At 37.5% G+C, this 22,976-nt stretch overlaps 1 protein-coding gene and 2 long non-coding RNA genes across 3 annotated transcripts in view, besides 1 other annotated feature; 2 read left to right on the top strand and 1 right to left on the bottom strand.

Annotated features, from left to right (window-relative positions):
* NAA11 (N-alpha-acetyltransferase 11, NatA catalytic subunit) overlaps positions 1 to 12,335 on the top strand; it is a 170,686-nt gene extending 158,351 nt beyond the window's left edge. Inside the window, exon 2 of the mRNA XM_017008779.2 lies at positions 10,840 to 12,335. The gene's annotated coding sequence lies outside the window, so the exon portion shown is untranslated. The remainder of the gene's footprint in view (positions 1 to 10,839) is intronic.
* LINC01088 (long intergenic non-protein coding RNA 1088) overlaps positions 1 to 22,976 on the bottom strand; it is a 337,052-nt gene that overhangs the window by 141,089 nt on the left and 172,987 nt on the right. The window lies entirely within an intron of this gene.
* Positions 15,991 to 19,890, top strand: LOC124900723 (uncharacterized). The gene is made up of 2 exons (XR_007058154.1): positions 15,991 to 16,280; positions 17,893 to 19,890. It is a non-coding gene; the product is annotated as an uncharacterized LOC124900723 (long non-coding RNA).
* Positions 19,210 to 19,410: a silencer, noted in NCBI's record as "peak5059 fragment used in MPRA reporter construct". NCBI's record gives its function as "represses an SCP1 promoter by STARR-seq MPRAs in K562 erythroleukemia cells {active_cell/tissue: K562}" and the evidence as "EXISTENCE:reporter gene assay evidence [ECO:0000049][PMID:32103011]".

Genomic DNA, 22,976 nt, shown 5'->3' with positions numbered 1-22,976 from the left:
GTACAGCCTGTGGAATCATGAGCCAATTAAACCTCTTTTCTTGATAACTTACCCAGCTTCAGTTATTTCTTCATAGCAATGAGAGAATGGACTGATACTATCAAACTTGGAAAACTCACACTGACAACTATAATAGCTACCACATATTAGGAAACTTTTTCTAGGTGGGGTACTGATCGAGCACTTCAGAAACATCATCTCATTTAATCCTCATGACTCCCCATTTAATAGGTATGGTGCAGATACTATTATCCCTATCATAGAACTGATGTTCTTGATATCTATCCCTATCATTGGACTTGATTTAGACTGATGTTAAGAGCTTTTATAACTGTTAAGTGTTGTTGAAGTAAATTTCCCAAAACATAAGTCCTGATGGGACTGTACTCTTCCCTGATTTCTTACCACGTCTCTCTCTCTCTCTCTCTCTCTCTCTCTCTATATATATATATATATGTGGGTGTGTGTGTGTGTATACATACATATATGTGTATATATGTATATATATGTATGTATATATATAAAATAAGTTGTCTATTCTCTCTCTCCATATACATATATATATATATATATATATAAAATAAGCTGTCTTAATAGCTCACAATTTCCCTTCCGTTTCCCCTTCTTTGGTGACTTGGTGACTCCCCATACCTCATACCTCCATCCTCCAGCACCCATAATCATGTGACTAATTCCAGTACCCTAGCTATAAGAGACAAAACTGGGCCAAAGTTTCACCCCTCAAATGGGAGGTAGGAGAAAGAGAAACAGAGACAGATGATAAAGATCAGATGATTTCTGGCCAGGCATGGTGGCTCATGCCTGTAATTTTTTTTTCTTTTTTTGAAACAGTCTTGCTCTGTTGCCCAGGCTGGAGCGCAGTGGGGTGTCCTGCCTCACTGCAACTTCCACCTCCCAGGTTGCAGCAATTCTCCTGCCTCAGCCTCCCAAGTAGCTGGGACTACAGGTGCGTGCCACCACGCCCAGCTAATTTTTGTATTTTTTAGTAGAGACGGGGTTTCACCATGTTAGGCAGGCTGGTCTTGAACTCCTGACCTTGTGATCCGCCCGCCTCAGCCTCCCAAAGTGCTAGGATTACAATACCTGTAATCCTAGCACTTTGGGAGACCCCAGGCAGGAGGATCACTTGAGGCCAGGAGTTCAAGACCAGCCTGTCTCAAAAAAAAAAGTAATAGGCAGGTATGGTAGTGCACACCTATAATTCTAGCTACTAGGGAGACTGATAGAGGAGGATCAGTCTAGGACTTTGAGGCTGCAATGAGCTGAGTTATGTTTGCACCACTACACTCCAGCCCCCACATCAAAGTAAAACCCTGCCTCTTAAAAAAAAGTTCAGTTGTTCAGCTGGATCTGAAATAATAAAACTGTGCACTGTAAGAAATTCTATTTCCCATTCTGTATTCTAAGAACAATAGAACATAGGTGTATAGAAAGGGGAAAAAACCGTGGTTAGAGAGCAGCAAGACGTGCAAGAGAAAGATGGTGCTACAATTTTAAGTTAAGATGATAAGTTTTCTCAGTCTACTCCTGAGGCCCAACTATGTCTCTGATCTTGAGATTCTTTCATGCCACCAGGATATACTTTCATGTTTTGCTGTTGTTGGCTTAAGTACTTCTCCATTATTGCTAGCAAAATAATCCTACCACCTATAGGTAAAATAACAGCTTTCCTCAATTAATAGAGAGTAAATTCTAGAAATAGATAATGTGCTTCCTAAATAAAAGAAAAGAAAGTCATCCTTCTTTAAAGGCTCTGTAAATTACTGAGGCAAAACCAAGTTACCACTTACTTTTAGGCAATAACTAAGTCAAAAGACTATGTATAAACAGTTAGATGAAGTAGATACTTTGTAACCACTATTAGGAATAAATTTAAAATCACAGCCAAGTCAATCTAAGCTGTTTCCGTCTACCTTCAGGATTGTAAAATAAAAACCTTTACCTCTGCAGAAGAGATTTTCCTCCAGTCTCTGCAGCCCATTTTGAAGCGAGCTGTGAAAATGCTTTATATATTTTGTAGATGTCTCCCAGTTTTTAAAAAGAAGAACATTGGGTGAAATGTGCTTCTCCACCCTCCCCTAGCATACTCACTTTAATTACTGATTCATTATCCAATTCTACATATATTTCATGGTAGCTTTGGCATCACTGGAGAAGCACTCCAGCATATGTCAACACAACTTCCTCCAGGTTCTGTGCAAAGGGAGAGTAACAGGAAGAGCTCTACTCCTGTCTGAAGAGACTTGCTTTCCTTCTCTCATTCTTTGCATACCCTGGGCCTCCAGCTTCTTCATTTGGGGAACCATTTCCCAAGCCTGCAGTTTAGAGTGGAGGGGATGGGAGGAGGGGCTCAGATTCTGGTGAACAGCTGGGGCCCATCACTTCTCATTGCAGGTCTTGGGGAGATGTGGTTGACAGAGTGATGCACAGAGCCTGTCCCAGTTAATGACTTCACCATTCTCCATCATTATCCCCATCATTAGGAAATTAGGAGGACAGAAGGTATTTACTGTAAACCTGCCACCTCCCAAGGAGAGATAAATAGAAACTGATAAATGGGCTCTTCTGGTGCTGTTTGTCTATTAACCTTCTGCTTCCCAGCTCCGGCATATGCATGCCATCCTGCCATTAATATCCAGTAATTGGCATGGCAGCAGGCAATACAATCATACCTTTACTGTGAGTGTTCCCTCCGTGTGGTGTGCCTGTGCAAGCACACAATTACGTTCATAATGAAGCTTTGCTAAACAATCCGGTTGAAAGACATTAGGCAGTTGTTCCCCAGCTATAACACCAGCCTCCCACAGTCATTCAATGCTTAACTCTTCACTAGCCTGGGTACGAGATGCCATTGCTAATCTTTCTGCTGTCCTTGCACACATTATACTCTTTCCCTTAAAGGTAGATACATTCTGTTAACAGCTTCTTTGTTAACTCTGTGTTCCTTGGGAGCAAAGTCATATATTGCCAGCTTATGAATGATCTGAAACCACTTCACCTGGCTGACTGACTGGCACGAGGGAAGCATGGAGTTTTGTCTGTGTTGGGGCCACTGGTGACCACCTGGGGCTATTTGTCACCAGTTGAGAGCCAAGCTGTTTAGCAGTGTTTCCCAAGGAGATTTTGTGTTCTTTATCACATTTCTAGATAACTAAGTGGGTGAAAGAGTGTATCTCATCAAGCGTATTTTCTGTGTGATAAGGGAGGAGATAGGAAGGTAATAACCTTGGTGTCTTCTCTTAGAAAGACACCGTCCTCAATGTTTGTCTGCTCAAGACACTTGGGAATTTTGAAGGAGCATGAATCCCAGGAGATCCTGAAAGAGTTCACAGAAAACCAAGGCCCACAAAGAAAGCCACTTCATTCTGTTACCCATCTGCTCACACCGTGGCTGCAAAATGAACATTTGGTCTCTGCTTCCCTGACCTATTTCTCCCCCAGTTAAATTCCTGTGTTTACTATGAAGTCTATGAAGACTACAATAGTGACTGCAGTGGGCAGACTGTTTCATCACAGGATGAAACATGAAAAACCAAGATGAGTAATTTCTTAAAAGCACAGGATGGGTTCTATGAAATGAATCAACCTGGTCCTAAACATGGCCCTAAAAAAAAATACAGTAGCAAGAGGGAGGTGAGGTTGGGGAGAGGTAATATCAGCAAAGAGATAAAAAGCGATAAAAAGACCGAGAAGAAAATGACATGACAACCTTATTACTGGTGTTCAGGAACCATAGCCTCTCTGTCAGAAAAATACCAGATCACCCATTTGAGAACTTCATAAAACTAAATGATCAATAGATTATAGCTCTGGCCCTCCTTCCACACGGCATAAAACAAATAATAATATCTCCAATAAATATAACAAATAGGGTAATCTTTCCTATCTCCTGCAAACCCCTGACAGAATGTGCTACAGGATCTTTTCATTGTGTCTTCAGGAGGATGCTAAGCAGCTTGCCAGACTCCCAGTCAAGCACAGCCTCTCCAGCTGTCTTCCAAGCATCCACCTTTAAATACAGAATCTGGATGTAGCTGGATGGCCTTGCACTCCTGGAAGCTTTCATTCTGCAGAAATACCTGGGAACAAACCTTGTGTCAGTCAGCATTCTATTAACTAAAATTCCCAAGCACTGATGCCAGCAGACACCTCTAGTATAATGCTAATGTTTGTAATGATGACCCAGTGACAGGCTAAGAAATTGATGTCAATTCTGCCTCTTCTTCACCATTCCTTACTTCTATCTGCTTTATTTATTTTTTTATTTTTTAACCCTCCCCACAGCCCCACAGTTCTCATGGAAGAAAGGGCCTGCTTAATGTTTTTATGAAGCCCTTTCACATGATCTCTTCTAGTTCACAGCAAAGCCTCACGCAGTAGTCAAGAGATGATATTAGAATCCCTATTGTACAACTGCGGAAATGCACATTCAGGAAAGGTAAGTGACTTTCTCAGTTCACATAGCTAGGACCCAAGTCTTCTTTCCTTTTCAGAGCTGCTGTGCTGCCAACTCTAAAAGACACCATTCATGTTGTATTCTGTGTGAACAGCACTCCTGAATTTGGGCAACACAGATGTCCTGAAAATCAACAATATGGTGGAAATAGGAGGGGCTTTGGAATCAGAGACTTAGTTTTACCACTTATATTAGCTGCATTACTCTAAATAATGTTTAAATTTCTCTGAAGTTTGTTTCCCTATCTGTAAGATGGGATGATGGTAATAACAGTTCCTACTTCATAAATGTAACACATATGTTGTTAGTATATAATAATATATGAAAAATACTTCCTATTTACTTCTATTTATCTTTCCCTTTCCTATAATGGACACTACCATGTTGCCTCTTTAGGAAAAGCTTAATGGAGATACATTTTACAGTATTCCAGCTCTTTGGATATTGGTAGACTATGTAACATAATGCTGTCTCTCCTTTTAAATAGATTAAGATTAACCAGAGTATTTCATTCCCATGCCATGCCAGATTAATATAATCTCAAGTTGACTCAGTTAAGAAACAACATTTTTTCTTCTTTTGTAAAATGTAAAACATACACAAAGGTGCCATAGACTGTGACTAAAGGATTAGTTATAATCATGGGATATTTGTGGACAGCATAAAATAAAAATACACCATAAGACCATTTACAATTCTTCTGGCATTCTCACCACAAAAATTTCTCTCTAATTCACTCCTCTTTAGTACTCACTAATCACCATGAGTGCAGCTGGGTCACTCTTGCAGGTGTGTCCTTTTCATCCATGTCTCTTTTTCCATGTCAAGAGGCTTATCAATCCCAATTTTAAGCACTGACAATTCTAAGACCCCCAGTTTTTTATTAGGCAGAACTATTTAGTTCTCCGGGATTCAACACTTACCTTTCAGATCATGCTCAAGCTTTCTTCACTTAGGCAGAATACCACCTTTCCCAACCTAGAAGCTTTTGGAAATACATGGGAATATTTACTGGTTATCAAAATTACAGGGGCCAAGTTCAGCAAGATGGCAAGATGCAAGACCAATATACAAAAATCAGTTATATTTCTACATACTAGCAATAAACATTGTAAAAATAAAATAAAGAAAATAATTCCACTTATAGCATTAAAAGAATGAAATATTTAGAAATAAGTTTCTCAAAGAAGTGCAACACATGCATACTAAAAACTACAAAATACTGTGGAATGAAATTAAAGAAGAACTAAGTAGGCCGGGTGTGGTGGCTCACGCCTCTAATCCCAGCACTTTGGGACGCCGAGGTGGGCAGATCATGAGGTCAGGAGTTCGAGACCAGCCTGGCCAATATGGTGAAACCCTGTCTGTACTAAAAATAGAAAAATTAGCCAGGGGTGGTGGCATGCGCCAGTAGTCCCAGCTACTCAGGAGTCTGAGGCAGAAGAATCACTTGAACCCGGGAGGCCGGGAGGTGGAGGTTGCAGTGAGCCGAGATCATGCCACTGCACTCCAGCCTGGGCGACAGAGCAAGACTCCATCTCAAAAAAAAAAAAAACTAAGTAAAAGGAAAGATATCCCACATACATGGATTAGGAGACTCAATATTGCTAAGATGGAAATACTTCCCAACCTGGTCCACAGATTCAATGCAATCCCAATTAATATCTCAACCTCCTGTTTTGTGGATATTGACATGAAGATACTAAAATTTACATTAAAATTTAAGGAATCCAGAATAGCAAAAAACACCCTTGGAAAAAAATAAATTTGGGGGTTTCACACTTTCTGACTTCAAAATTTCTTACAAAGCTATAGTAATCAAAACAGTATGCTACTGGTACAAGGATAGTCATACAGATAATTGGAATAGAATTTAGATCCAGAAATAAACCCTTATACTTAAGATCAATAGACTTTTGACAAGGGCTCCAGGATTCTTCTGAGGCAGAAGAATTGCTTGAACCCAGGAGGTGGAGGTTGCAGTGAGCCAAGATCGTGCCAATGCACTCCAGCCTGCGCAACAGGGAAAGAATGGGAATGGGAAAGAATAGTCTTTTCAAGAAATAATGCTGAGACAACTGAATTTGCAAAAGAATGAAGCTGGATACCTACTTCACAACATAGACAAAAGAAAACCCTCAAAATGAATCACAGAATAAATGTAAGAGCTAAAAGTATAAAGCTCTTGGAAGAAAACCTAAATCCTTGTAATCTTGGATTAATCAATGGTCTCTTAGACATGATACCAAATACACAAACAGAAAAAGAAAAATAAGTAATCAGACTTAACCATCCCAAATTTACTTAAACACCCACATTTATTTTTTTCAAGGGTGTTTTTTTCCTATTCTGGATTCCTTAAATTTTCATGTAAATAATATATAAAATTAAAAACTTTTATGTTTCAAAGAACATCATCAAGAAAGTGAAAAGACAGTGCATAGAATGGGGAAAAATATTTGCAAATATATATCTGATAACAGGCTTATTGCCAAAATATATAAAGAACTCTCACAACTCAACCGTTTAAAAATTCGATTTTAAAATGGGCAAAAGATTTAAATAAAAATTTCTCCAAAGATATACCAACAGCTAATAGCCACATAAAAAGATACTAAAAAATCATTAGTCATTATGGAAATACAAATCAAAACCACAATTAGATACAACTTCACATCTACAGTCATTGCTGTAATAAAAAAGACAGGCAATAACAAGTGTTGAGCATGTGGAGAAATTAGTACCCCATGCACTACTGGCGGTGGAAAATGGTGCAGCTGCTGTGGAAAACAGTCTGACAGCTTCTCAAAAAGTTACCATAGGACCTAGCAACTCAACTCTTAATAATATATCAAAAGAATTGAAAACAATAGTCCATAAAAAATGTGTACGCATATGTTTAAGCAGGATTATTTATAATAGCTAAAAAGTAGAAACAACTCAGCTGGGCACGGTGGCTCATGCCTGTAATCCCAACACTTTGGGAGGCCGAGGCGGCTGGATCACCTGAGGTCAGGAGTTCGAGACCAGCCTGGCCAATGTGGTGAAACCCCATCTCTACTAAAAATACAAAAATTAGCTGAGCATGGTGGCAGGCACCTGTAATCCCAGCTACTTGGGAGGCTGAGGCAGAAGAATAACTTGAACCTGGGAGGCGGAGGTTGCAGTGAGCTGAGATTGCACCATTGCACTCCAGCCTGGGCAACAAGAGCAAAACTCTGTCTTAAAAAAAAAAAAAAAAGAAAGTAGAAACAACTCAAATATCTATCTAGATGAACAAAAATATCTAATAGATGAACAAAAGTTAGTATATCCATATAATTGAATAGTATTTGGCAATAAAAGAAGAAAAAAACTGACACATTCTACAACATGAATGAATTTTTGAAACATTATATTAAGTGAAAAGAGTCAGTCACGAAAGGGCACATATTATATATTTCCATTTATATAAAATGTCCGGAAAAGGTATATTTATACAAACAAAAAGTAGATTCATGGTTTTCAAAGAACAGAGGGAAGGATAATGGGGAGTGACTTCTAATTATTAGGTTGGTGCAAAAGTAGTTGTTTTTGCCATTGCTTTTAAAAATGGAGGAAACTGTAATTACTTTTCACCAACCTAATAGTATAGTATTTCTTTGGGGGGTGATTAAATGTTTTGGAAATAGATCATGGTAATTGTACAAGTTTGTGAATACATTAAAAATCACTGAACTGTATACTTTAAAATAGTGATGTTTACATTCTCACCAGCAGTGTAGAAATGTCCTTTTTCACTGCATCCAAGCCAACTCTATTATTTTTTATTTTTTATTAATGGTCATTCTTGCAGGAGTGAGGTGGTATCAAATTGTGGTTTTGATTTGCATTTCCCTGATCATTGGTGATGGTGAGCATGTTTTCATGTATTTGTTGACCATTTGTATATCTGCTTTTGGGAACTGTCTATTCATATCCTTAGCCCACTTTTTGATGTGATTGTTTGCTTTTTTCCTTGCTAATTTGAGTTCCTTGTAGATTCTGCATATTAGTGCTTTGCCAGACCTATAGATTGCAAAGATCTTCTCCCACTCTGTGGGTTGTCTGTTTACTCCGCTGACTGTTCCTTTTGCAGTGCAGAAGCTCTTTAGTTTAATTAAGTGTAGCCTATTTATCTTTGCTTTTCTTGCATTTGCTTTTGGGTTCTTGGTCGTGAAGTCTTTGCCTAAGCCAATGTCTAGAAGGGTTTTTCCAATGTGGTCTTCTAGAATTTTTATGGTTTCAGGTCTTATATTTAAGTCCTTTGTCCATCTTGAGTTGACTTTTGTATTCTTTCTACATGTGACTTGCCAATCATCTGAGCACCATTTGTTGAATAGGGTGTGCTTTCTCCACTTTATGCTTTTGTTTGCTTCGTCAAGGATCAGTTTGCTCTAAGTATTTGGGCTTATTTTGTGCTCTCTATTCTGTTCCATTGGTCTACATGCCTATTTTTATACCAGTACCATGCTGTTTTGGTGACTATAGCCATATATATATATATATATATATATCAGGTAATGTGATGCCTCCACATTTGCTCTTTTTGCTTAGTCTTGCTTTGGCTATGCAGGCTCTTTTTTGGTTCCATATGAATTTTAGGACTTTTTTTTAGTTCTGTGAAGAATGATGGTGGTATTTTAATGGGAATTGCATTGCATTTGTAGATTGCTTTTGGCAGTATGTTCATTTTCACAATATTGATTCTACCCATCCATGAGCATGGGATGTGTTTCAATTTGTTTGTGTTGTCAATGATTTCTTTCAGCAGTGTTTTGTAGTTTTCCTTGTAAAGGTCTTTCATTTCCTCAGTTAGGTATATTGTTAAGTTTTGGGGGTTTTTTGCACCTATTGTAAAAGGGGTTGAGTTCTTGATTTGATTTTCAGCTCATTTGCTATCGGTGTATAGCAGAGCTACTGGTTTGTGTACATTAATTTTGTATCCTGAAACTTTGCTGAATTCATTTATCAGTTCTAGGAGCTTTTTGGAGGCATAAGATCTTATCATCATAGGCCGGGCACAGTGTCTCACGGCTGTAATCCCAGCACTTTGGGAGGCCGAGGCAGGCGGATCACGAGGTCAGGAGATCAAGACCATCCTGGCTAACATGGTGAAACCCCATCTCTACTAAAAAATAAAAAGAATTAGCAGGGCGTGGTGGCGAGCACCTGTAGTCCCAGCTACTCAGGAGGCTGAGGCAGGAGAATGGCGTGAACCCGGGAGGGAGACCTTGCAATGAGCCGAGATCACGCCACTGTACTCCAGCCTGGGTGAAGAGCAAGACTCCGTCTCAAAAAAAAAAAAAAAAAAAAATCATCAGCAATCAGCAACAGTTTGACTTCTTCTTTACCGATTTGGATGCCCTAGTTTCTTTCTCTTGTGTGATTGCTCTGGCTAGGACTTCCAGTACTATGTTAAATACAAGTGGTGAGAGTGGCCATCCTTGTCTTGTTCCAGTTCTCAGTGGGAATGCTTTTAACTTTTCCCCATTCAGTATTATGTTGGCTATGGTTTTGTCATAGCTGGCTTTTATTAGCTCGAGGTATGTCCCTTTTATGCCAATTTTGGTGAGGGCTTTGGTATATATACATATGTGTATATATATGTGTGTATATACACACACACGTATATATGTATATATACATACATATACATATGTGTACATGTGTATATATACATGCATATACATATATGTATATATACATACATATATATGTGTGTATATATATATTCCATCATATGTATATGATGGAATGCCACTCAGCCATAAAAAGGAACAAATTAATTGCATTGGCAGCAACCTGGATGGAACTGGAGGCTAATATTCCAAGTTCAGTAATTCAAGAATGGAAAACCAAACATTATATGTTCTCACTCATAAGTGGGAGCTAAGCTATGAGGATGCAAAGGCATCAGAATGATACAATGGACTTTGGGGACTTAGGGGAAAAGGTGGGAGGGGGTGAGAGATAAAAGACTACAAATTGGGTTCAGTGTATACTGCTTGGGTAATGGGTGCAACAAAATCTCACAAATCACCGCTAAAGAACTTACTCATATAACGAAATGCCAACTGTTCCCCAAAAACCTATGGAAATAAAAACTAAAAAATAAAAAACAATAAAATGGTGATGTTTATGGTATGTGACATATTTCAATATAACTGTCATTTAAAAAAATAGGAATCTACTACTGTCAATTTAGTCAGGGATAATGTGCACTAGACATTCTGAAATGTCGTGAGTCCTGTTCAATAGACTTTTTAAAATGAAACACTATCTGTATTTAATTCTGAGCCATTTATTTCTGAGCTAAATTCTTTTTCTTCTCATTACCACAGTTGTGAAAAATCAGTAGTCTGTGGCAGAAGACATCAATTAAGAAATAAGAAGATTTGGATACAAGTCTGAGCTCAATTACCAGAAGCTCAGGCAAGTTATTTAACTTTCTTGGGCTTCTTTTATCATCTAACAGATGTACGATAGTGAATTTTACGTCAAGCTGTCTGGTCCACAGTGCCCAGATATGTGGTCAAACATTATTCTGGTTGTTTGTGTGAGGGTGTTTTGGGATGAAATTAACATTTAAATTGGTGAACTCTGAGTAAAGAAGATTGCCCTTCATAATTAGAATGGGCTGCATCCAATCTACTGAAGGCCTTAACTGAACAAAAGGCTGACCTCCCTGAGCAAGGAGAATTAATTGTGCCTGTAGACACAGCATGAAGACCCTCTTCCTGGGTCTCCAGCCTGCTGGTCCATCCTGCAGATTTTAGACTTGCCAGCCTCTATAATGGTGTGAGCCAATTACTTAAAATAAGTCACTTTGTATATACACACACATATATAAATATATATATCCCTATATGAATATATATATATACACACACACACACACATCACATCCCATTGGTTCTATAACTCTAATATCTAATATATAGAGTATGCCCTGTAAAGCTATAAGGTTTTTGACATCTCCACCAATTTCAGCATATGGGTTTCAAATATACATATGTGGGTTTTACTACAAATATACAGATGTGGGTTTTACTACAAATATACATATGTAGGTCTTACTACAAATATACATATGTGGGTTTTACTGTAGTTTTTAAACTATATGGGTATTAAAAACTCCAGGTACATCCAGGGCACTCTGGAGGTTCCAACTGACCTTATCAACTCCACTAAGATGAGATAGCCATTTGGTAAATGACTACAGAAATAATGCTTACATTGACTCACCTGCCTTGTAACTGTCCTCCAAACCTGAGAATGAAATATGTTTCCTAAAAGTCGATGTGATCAGAATAAAAAGTATATGTTCATAGGGTTTAAGGATAGCCAGACCTACCCAGCACACCTGAAACAATAGCATGTATACAATCATTTACTTTGTCCATGGGTAAAATGAGTCCTGATAACAGAGCAGGAGACGTCAGTCTTCTTTGTCATCAATCATAAACACTAAGTTCCTAGTTTTAAAATATAGTTAATTCTGTTATTCTGTAACTGACTATCCAGATGTGTATTATTCAGAGCTTTTCATTTGGCAACACGTGTTTTTGCCATTTCACAGCTCATTTGTACTTCCACTAGCTTTGATACACTCATTACTATCTCTGGCAAAAGATTTGGTGAGAGAGGCAGTTGATGCAAATGAGATTTTTAGATTATCCACGCTCTCCCTTTCTACCATGACCATGGATAATCAAGAATTCACTGTGCAAAGAGCATAGAATGCAATTAGGCATTAGATAAGGAAAGCTTCACACATAAAATCACTAGGAATGTTTTAAAGGCAGTATCAAATAAAAACGTGCACCTGTGAAAACAAGCTGATGTTTCTTGTTAATGCTGCCTGATGCCTTCTGAAATGTCTCAAGAGAAATGATCATAAAAAATTATGGGCCCGGCGCGGTGGCTCACGCCTGTAATCCCAGCACTTTGGGAATCCGAGGCGTGTGGATCACCATGTCAGGAGATCGAGACCATCCTGGCCAACACGGTGAAACCCCGTCTCAAAAATTAGCCGGGCGTGGTGGTGGGCGCCTGTAGTCCCAGCTACTCAGGAGGCTGAGGCAGGAGAATGGCGTGAACCCGGGAGGCGGAGGTTGCAGTGAGCCGAGATCGCGCCACTGCACTCCAGCCTGGGCGACAGAGCGAGACTCCATCTCAAAAAAAAAAAAAAAAGACAGTAATTCCTCAACCCATTTCACAGTAGGGAAAACACCTTCATTGAGTGGTAGTGTCTAAAGGATACACGTTGATTTCGTGGTGCTGTCAGCAATCATCTCATTCAAAAAGTGTGCAATTAAAGCCTACTAAGTTTCTGACAGAGCTCGAGGTAGGCACTGAGGATATGAAGATGGTAAGACACAGCTCCTGCTTACATTTTAGTGGAGAGGCAGATAAGTAAGTAAATTATTTCACTTTAACAAGGCTAATTCTACTACAAGGGAATTCCAAAAGTGCTAGGAGAGGACAGAGGGACATTTATTCAAGTCTGGCAAGTCAGAGAAGCCTTTTAGTAGGAGGTGATATAAAGTAGTAAGGGATGATTAGAAGTTAAATGTTTTATGAAAAAGTAAAGGTAATTTTAGACGAAATAATATGAACAAAAGCATGAAGAATTAGGAGAACTTCATGTTTAGGGACAACCGTAAGTAGTTCCTTATCCTCTATCCTAAAGTACGAATCATGTAGAATCAAGTAATGAGAAAAGAGACATAAACCAGTGGTGAAATTACCTTAACTAACTTTGCTAAGAAGCTTGGGCCTGATCCAGTAAATGATAAAAAGCCATTGAAGAATTTTGACTGTGAGTGATGTGGCTAAACAGGTGTTTTAAATTGATCATCCCAGATAGATAGGGTGGGTTTTATTAGTGGGGAAGAGGATCTGAACAAGGAAAATATGTTGAAATTGTCACAAAAGCCAATTCGGTAACATTGTAACTAAACAAAGGTAGTTCAGGTAAGCGTAAAGGAAAAGACTTGAGAAACATTTAGAAGATAAATTGCCAAGACTGTTGAATAGTTGGAGAGACAAAGGAAACAAAAGAATATTTCCAAGATTCTAGAAAGTAAACATAGAACAAAAAACAGGTGGAGGACACTTGGTGGTTGATGAGTTCAGTACTGGCATGTTGAGGTCATCCAAGGAGAGATGACAAGCATGCATCTGCACCTTCAAACATAAAGCTCAGGTAAAATTAGAGCTGATGATACACATTTGGGAGTCATCAAGATAGTCGTTCAAATTATGAGAGTGAATGAACTACCCAAGGAGACAGTGTAAAATACTGATTCTCAACACCGGCTGCACATTAGAATCAAATGAAAAGATACTTATGCCAAGGATACCCTCAGACCACTTAAATCAGAACTTATGAGGTGCAGCCAGGATCTGGAATTATCACATTAAGGAAAAATAAAGGCAAGCCCATGACTTTTTCTTCATGCCTATGAAGAAAACCAAAAAGAAATGGACAGAAGTGTATGAAGGAAACCAGAAGAAAAAAAATAATGCCACTACTTCTATAGTCTCAATTGCCTTCACTAGAACAGGATGAATATGACATAAACATTGTTTTAAAAATAAATACTGTGATGTTCTATCATTTCAGAAATCCTTGATCACCACAATAGCATCCCATTTCAAGAGCTCAAGTCCATTTTACCACTATAAAATCAATTAGCTGGTTATGCTCCATCATAAATGGGTTTCCAAAAGTTTTAATTCCTTTAATCCATGGTGAAGCATATATTATTTTAAAACTAAGCAGATGTGTTCAACAATTATAAGAGGTCCAAGATGAAACTGAAGCCTTTTGTGGAAAAAATATTTTATTACAGAGGATTTATCTGTTTAGATAAATCTTAGTTTTCTTTGTTATTCTTTAAGGGCTGTTAGTTGGGGGATGGGGCAGAACTTGAATCCATTACAGATTGAAATGTAAAATTTGATGTACACATTTATACCTGTATTTATAATAAGCAACATTCAAGGTACTAATGGCATGTTTGCTCCCAAAAATTATATTACAGTTTTATTGTTTGAGGCACTGCTTTTGGATGCAACTGAAAATGTGATTATGACCTCTAACAATGGTAATTTAAGTATTAATTTCCACTTCTTTTCAGCAACTGGCAGCATCCATCAATTATACCATTAGCTTCCCAATGATTGCAGCTGCAAAAAGCAGAATTAGTGTTTAAGCTACTGTCACTCACCTGAAATTTTACAGTTCTAATTAGTGAGCCAAGAAGGCTGTCAACAACTAAATGCCAAATGATTGGCCTGGAAAAACAGCACTTCCTAACCCTTCCCCAAACTCACTCACCCAGTGTTGTTATGTCATTTCCTCCTAGTTCAGAATTCAAACTGTCAGAAAACTCTTTATTTTTTGTTTCTGGCAATATTTCTTAACAAGTGTTAATAAGACAATGGAAGGCATGTCACTTAAGCCCACCTGCTGTCTATAGAAAAGTTGTTTCATACTCCATTTTACCTTATATCTTTGCTTCTGCCAAATCTGATAGTGTAGTTATTATTTTACTTATGTACCAGACACTTTGCTAGATATTATACATATACAGATAAGTAGTAGGAAAAGATACTTGTTCTCAGGGAAGTTACATTTAAAATAGAGAGTTAAACACATTGACAGGAAGATAATAAATTAAAAAATATATCAAAAGGATAGATTCTGTGAAAATAGTTAAAATAGAGTTATGGGACTGACAGTGAGTAGAAGTCTACTTTGAATTTGGTAGCTACAGAAAGCCACTCTGGAGATATGTCAGCTTAGTCATGCAACATCAAATGGAGTCTACATTCAGAGCCCAAGGAAGAGTATTCTAGTAACAGGGTAAAAAGACTTTAGGGCAGGAATGAATAAAAAAACTGAATATTGAGAAAAAGAAAAAAGGCCATTGTGGACTGTAGTGGGAAAGGGTAATATCAGTTTAAGATAAGGTAACAGATATGGTCAGAGGCCAGAGCAAGTAAAGCTTTGTAAACTATAGTTTAAGGAGTTTGGATTTTATTCGAAGTATAGCAAAATGTCACTGGAGGGTTTTAATTTATGTTGTAAAAAGACTACTTCCTCTGGCTACTGTGTAAAGAAAGGATTATAATCTTGAGAAATTCCTACACATTTACAGTGAGAACATGAACAACAATGCCCATAGAAATATTGGTTATAATAGCAAAAACTGAAATAATACAATGAAAAATCAATTTTGTGACAGTCTTAAAATAGACTGCTATATGGTCATGAAAATTACAACTACAGTGGAACATATGAATATAAAGCAAAAATAACTATGAGTGGAAAAGAAATTGAAGAATAATATATACAGGATGATTCCACTTACATAAAACTGAAAATCATATATAAACTAAACAATATCTACTTTAGGATATACATATACAGTGAAAAAGTAAATCAATGTAAATTGTGGACATATCCTAGGATGACCCTCAAGGAGTCACACCATTGTATAGTCCCCTCCCTTGCAGTATGGGCTTCTAACCAATAGATTATTGCAAAGGCGGTGGAATGTCATTCTTCTATTTTCACAGACAGAAGTGAAACATTCTCAGTAAATACTGACCCTGAAGTAAGTTGACACATTGTGATGCTGTAAGTCTACGGCAAAACCTATGTGGCAAAGGACTCTCAAGAGTTGGAAGTGTCCCCAAACCAATGACCAGTAAGAAAACATAAATCTAAATCCTATAACCACATGAAGAGGAATTCTGCTAACAACCTACGGTATGTGGAATTAGATCTTTCCCTGGTTATGCCTTTGATGAGAACACAGCTCAGCCAATCTTAATCTTAATTGCAGCCTTGTCAAACTGTGAACAGAGGACTCAGCTAAGCCATGACCAAATACCTGACACACATAAACTGTGAGATAGTATGTGTATGTTGTTTTAAGCCACTAAGCTTGTGATAATTTGTTACACAGTAATAGTAAACTAATTCTGAAATAATAGACACAAACTTTGGAGTAATTATTACCTCTGGAGGAAGGAGATGTAACTAATGGCATCACAGTGTGGACTTCAAGGTTGTTGTTAATATGTGCTTTCTTCTTTTTATATCCTCATATTTTCTCTTGCAAAGAATATGTTAGATATTTTAATTAAAATCTTAGAGTCTCTGACTTTAATTGACTAGATTAACCCATTTATATTTATTGCAGCTTCTATTATTTTAGGACCTAATACTGCTATCATTTTAAAAATATTTTTTCATTTTTTATACTTTCCTTGCATTTCTTTTCTTCATTTATGCTTTCTATTGCATAAATTTAGTGTTCTTATTCTGTTTATATAATATTTTCTCCATTTGCTCTTGTAATAGACTTAAGACCCATTTAAATTGCTTTGCCTAATGAAACAAGTACTACAGCATTCTGGCATATTCCTACGTACTCCTCTTGTCTATTATGTTAATTTTGTCTGTAATTTTATTTTGAGTTCTAAAACTTCCCCAGAGCTGAGGGAGGAATCCAGCTGCCTATACTGGTTTGCCATTTTGTTAGGATAAGAAATGTTTCATTGTAATATTTAGTTGTCTATTTCTTCAGCTATTTGGCAGGCACATAATTGTTTTATCAGCCTTTAAGTGTCAAATGTATGTAATAGTATTTTGTATGAATCATTTAGTTCATTAATATTTTAAATAAAAAAGCATCTAGCACAATTGGTTCTTAATAAATATTAGTAAATTTAAAAGTGGAATACAAGGAACTGAATAATTATTCTCTTGATCACTATTTCACAAGTGCTCTGGTGATACCAACAAAGTTAAGAAATTATTCCAACAGGTAAGAAAGATCTTGTCCAGCCTTTCCTTTTTATCTAGAATCAGTGAGGTTACTATCACATCTACTTGCTTGAATCATTGATGCCATTCTGTTATTCGTTTATGAAACATGAGTCTGCTTATTCCAAGCACTTTCGGCCTCTTTAGGCATATTGCTTTTAATTAAGCACCTGTTCTATGCAATCCATTGTGGTTATTAATGTGCAGGATATGAAAAATAATTTGGCAGAACCCACAATGAGCTTCTCTTCTAGTAAGGGGAGATGGATATGCTCACAAATAATTATAATAGAAGGTTAATGTGACAAATGCAAAAGAGGGGTATAAATAGATTAATGGGAAAAGAGAAGAGAAGGCTTTATAAAAGATGTTTGGGCTGGGCCTTTGAAGAAGGGTAGAATGTGAACTCCATGAATAAATGTGTTCTTTTTTCTTACCTCTGAGCTGTCATAAAGACTGTTTTAAGTACATATACACTCTTAAGGGTCCATGTAGCCTAGCTAATTGCCACTTTTTCTTAGGTTCTCAGTTTTGTTGTATTGTCTTTCAGGAATCCTTCCAGCTCCCCATGCTCACTTCCCTGAGCTTGAATTAAGTGCTTTTTCCATGTATGCCCCCCAGACCCTAGTAAGTAAACTTTGCCGTTACTTTTACCATAGTCTGTAGTAATTACAATAAAATTGAGAAGTTCCTGTGTCTGCTAAAAAGTTAGCAGAGGTTTGCAGACATCTATTTGGGTTAATTACTTGTATTGAGGGACAGAGACCTGTGAGAAGAAATGTTTTATCAGAGCCAAAAAATAAGAGAGGGAAATGGAGAAGAGAATGTGCATCTCTTCTCCAGCTTTAACCCCAAAGGCTGGATTGGACAGAACTTTGTGAGACCTGGGGCATAAGTAGCGAGGCTTGGTAGTTCAGGTGACAAAGCAAAACTTAGAGGTAAGGCTCAGGGCATTTTCACATTCTGCTGAAAACAGCATGTTACACCAACCCAATGGCAACGTGGTGCCCCGAGGAATTTGCAAGGTTTGGAATACAGGACATTGAAGAGTGGGAGGGGCAACATACATGCAGAGGTACCACTAGCAGTCAGAAGTGCCTTTGTGGGAGCCCAAAAAAGAAAATTGAAGGATTCTATGAACACGTATGAGGTATCCTTGGGAATTCCTGAGTAACTCAGGAAACTTAGAAGGAAAACTGATGTTCATAACTTAAGAAGGTCTGAGGCAACAAATTCAGACATTAAGGTTAATATAAATTTATCTACATCTAACAGATGGTGAGGCCTAGAGAGTTTTGTAGGATTATTTCTATATCCCTACTTCCTTAATTAGATTGTGATTTCCTGAGAGGAGAGACTGTGCCTGGTTCACTGTGGGATTGCTAGAATTTGGCATAGTGTCTGAAACATATAGTATATATTCATTTAATAATTACTGCCTAAATGAGTCATAGGTGGTATTAGAACTGAAAATTCAGGACTCTTTACCTGAATTAGTATTGAATTGACTCCTGATTTCCTTTATAAAATATTTGTAACTGGGCCTTTGAAGAAATGTAGAATTTGTGCTTCTTAAATATGTGTGTTTTTCTCTCTTACCTCTGTGCTTTCATAAACATTATTTTAGCTGGATATACACTCTTTTGCATCTTCTTAGCCTAGCTGATTTTTCACTTATTCTAGAGGTTCACAGGCATCTATTTGCATGAATTATTTGTATTGGGAGAAAAGACCTGTTTCGCATGGGTAACTCAGTTTCACATGTGTGAATAAAAACAAAGTGGCAAGCAGATTAAAGATAGTAAGTGAACTTTCAAACATTCTCCTCAGTCTGTTTCTAACCACATCCAGTAAAATACAGTGTTATCTGGTAAGAACAGATGGGTTTTCAAACAAATATAATCAATTTCTACTATAATTTGGTTAATGCTGAATGACGAAGTTTTGAAATTGTGTATAAAGGGTTTTCTCTGTAATTCCCCCAAACAGTACTATTTGGGAGTGAGTATCTAGTCAGTGAATATTAACTCCTTACATTTCAAGTACAGCACATGTGAACATTTCTACACATACCATATGCTGCATTGGATGGTACATAAATAACAAGGTACATTCAGAGCATCATGCAGATATAAAGGCTGGGGTGTCTGAGGTAGCATTTTCATTCACAAGACTGAATCTGTGTGTTGTGGTCAGAAATCAAAGCTAATGTCAAAATCTTCTTACAAAAACAAGATTTTTCATAGTGATGAGAGAATTTACAGCAACCAAACTGATTTATTGATGAATTTACTATGCTCATGTGTCATTAAATAGTATGTGTAGACTGAAATACAAGAGACCTACACTGTTGCACAGGCTTTCATGAGCGTATGTGCTTCTGCTGCAGAGCTGCCTATGGGCTACTGGGGCTCCTGGATGGTCTAGCCATGTGTCTTCCCTAGGAGTATATTTAAAGATTTATGCAAAAATCTTTGTGGCACCAATAACAAGTTGGATTCTTGCACTCCCACTGTCAAAAAAAAAAAAAAAAAAAAAAGCAGTAAGCTATGAATGTAACAATAGATGTTTGGCTTGGCAACGCAATAAGAAACAAATGCCCCAAAATGACATTTCTTTAATATTGGGGAAAAAGTATCTTTGCTTAAAATGAAATAAAACTTTCTCCATTTAAAATATATTTATATAATAGAATTAAAAATAGATTATGGGAATAATAAAATTCCTGACACTTTCAGCTAGAGTTGGGTGTCTGACCATTTTATAGAAAAGTAAGATATCCTATGTCTATCCCCTCTATCCCCTGACAATCTATGAGACACCCTTGCTTTGACAGGCTCCCAACTAGAGAGTCAAAATATTAAGGAACCATTTATAAAGGGAGGTGACTCATCTGAAAATATTTGCATTACACTTCCCACTGAGCAAGAAGCTTAAGGAAGGATTCCAGTAACTTAGAAATGACAATACTTTGGAGAAAGCCGAAATAGAGTTTTAGGGGAACTCAACTTGTCTGTGCAGGCAAATACTGCACATTGGATTCATACAGACTGCTTAAAATATGTATGTCCATATTTTCCTTATACTAAGGTGTAATACTTGGGTGAAAGAAACTTCCTATTTATCTTCGTTTTCCATCATACATTTTCCTCATCTAAAGTTTACAGGAATTCCAATCAGCATTCTTTGGGGGCACCTTTCATTTTTCTAACATCATATGAGAGAGTCTTAAAAACTTAGGTGTATCACAAGAGAAGACTCTCAGTCTCAACTTTACCTTTTCTTCATATGGTGACTCTGTGCCTTGTTCAGACTGGTTTTTCACCATCCACCCAATTTTTTATTCTGTCTGCAGTGTTCTCACTTGCTTAGCTTTCTTGCTAGGACAACATGATCCTTATGTCAGCCATGGCAGATGGCTTTGCTGGTGGCATCATTTTTTTTTTTCTCAAAGCCCAGTACTTAGAGACATCATTTCCTGTTTTCCCACAATAATTCCATGGGATAGATGTTCTAGCATTTCTGAGATGCTGTGTTCCAATGGACTTGATCCATGTGCTTGTCCCATATGGAACCCACAATCCTCCCTTCCATCTACCAGGCAGAGATGACATTTATAGTTGTGTAGTGTGGACACTGAACAATAGAACCTAGCATAAGTGGCCAGTGGAGGACTGGAATCTAGCTATGCTCTACTGGCTAAGGTTGTGCCTTTGTCCTGGGCTGCATCTGCCCAGAGTGAACCTTTTTCTAATTTACACAGAAACCTTGTATAGGTCAGTAAGTAATAAGCCTGCCACACAGAATAACATCCTCTAGGTTTAAGCCACCCTCTCATCAACCTCTTGGGTAGATTCCTTTCTTGGATAATCCACTTTTAATTCATTTAATGGCACTGGGACATAAAGAAGTATTAAGCCCTTTCTGCCATCACAGTTTCCCTACCCTTGCTAAGAAGCTGGACTTTAGAAGTAAAGACCTGGTTGCTATCGTAGGTGACAGAGGAAAGAGAAAGAATAGAGAGTTCCTTTCAAATGAATCTAGAGTATTGAAAGAAAAAAAAGACAACAATTAACTTCTTACTCTGTGCCAAACACATTATCTAATTTAATCCTCACAGTAACTAAGAGATACTATAATTCACAGTTTATAAGGGAGGAAACTGAAGTATAGAGAGATTACCTGACAGGCTTAAAAATCATGTACTTAGTAAATTATAGAATCTAGACTTGAACCCAAGCCTTCCACTTCCAGAGCCTGTGCAGTTAACCATTAAACAATAATTCTATAATTTATTCTGTCACAAGAGTAATTTGGGAAAATTGTTTAAAAACATTGTACTTTTAACAACACAAAGTAGGGGCCTAGCACAGTGGCTCATCCCTGTAATACCAGCACTTTGGGAGGCTAAGACAGGTGGGGTGCCTGAGCTCAGGAGTTCGATACCAGCCTGGGCAACATGACAAAATCCTGTCTCTACAAAAATCAGCCAGGTGTGGTGGCACATGCATGCAGTCCCAGCTACTTAGGAGGCTAAGGTGGGAAAATTGCTTGAGCCTGGGAGGTCGAGGCTGCAGTGAGCCATGATCGTGCCACTTATTATATTATCCAGCAATCACTCCTAGATATTTACCTATTTAATTTGAAAATTTATGCCCACATAAAAACCTGCACAGGAATTATAGCTTTAAACTTAATTCCCAAAAGCTGGAAACAACCAAGATATCTGTCAATAGGTGAATGAATAAACAAACTGTGGTATATCCTTACAATATAATATTATTTAGTGATTAAAAACAAATGAGCTATCAAGTCACAAAAATATACAGATACATTTTAAATGCATATTTTTAACTGAAAGAAATTGGTCTGAAAAAGCTATGTGATTCCAATTATACAACATTGTGGAAAAGGTAAAACTATAAACAGCAGTTTCCAAGAATTTGTCGGGGGAGGGGCGTTAAAGAGATAAAATGCAGGAGCTATATTAGGGCAGTGAAACTATTCTGTATGATACTGTAATGATGAATAAACACGTGAACTATGCATTTGTCAAAATCCATAAAACTCGACAGCACAAAGGGTGAACCTTAATATAGCCAAGTTTTTTAAAACAATCACTTAGATTAGGGAACCTCGGGAAGGAATGAAGACTGTGACAAGAGGGTATAACTGTAACAGAAGTATATAAAACAACCTCATTCAAGAAGGTGGGAGAAGAAGTACTGACCTAAGTAACTCTGGAAAAGAGTATTTATAAGGCGGAATGCAACAGAAATTGCACACAAGCAATGTACTTTGGTTGATAAAATTGTTTCTCACAGGTGTAAGAATTAATGATGCTGATACTGCTACACAAGTATGGACATGCCCCATTTTATTGCACTTCACTTTATCGTGCTTCACAGATATTACAGTTTTTACAAACTGAACGTTTTTGGTAATCCCGCATCAAGCAAGTCTATCAGCACCATTTTTCCAACAGCATATGCACACTTTGTGTCTGTGTCACATTTTGGTAATCCTTGCAATATTTCAAACTTTTTCATTTTTTTAGTTATCTGTGATCAGTGATCTTTGATGTTACTATCAAAATTGTTTTGAGAGGCCATGAACTGCACCCATGTAAGATGG

This window comes from Homo sapiens, chromosome 4 (assembly GCF_000001405.40).
Source record: "Homo sapiens chromosome 4, GRCh38.p14 Primary Assembly".
Lineage (NCBI taxonomy): Eukaryota > Metazoa > Chordata > Mammalia > Primates > Hominidae > Homo > Homo sapiens.
The sequence above is the reverse complement of the archived record's forward strand: the minus strand, read 5'-3'. Positions and strand labels throughout refer to the sequence as shown.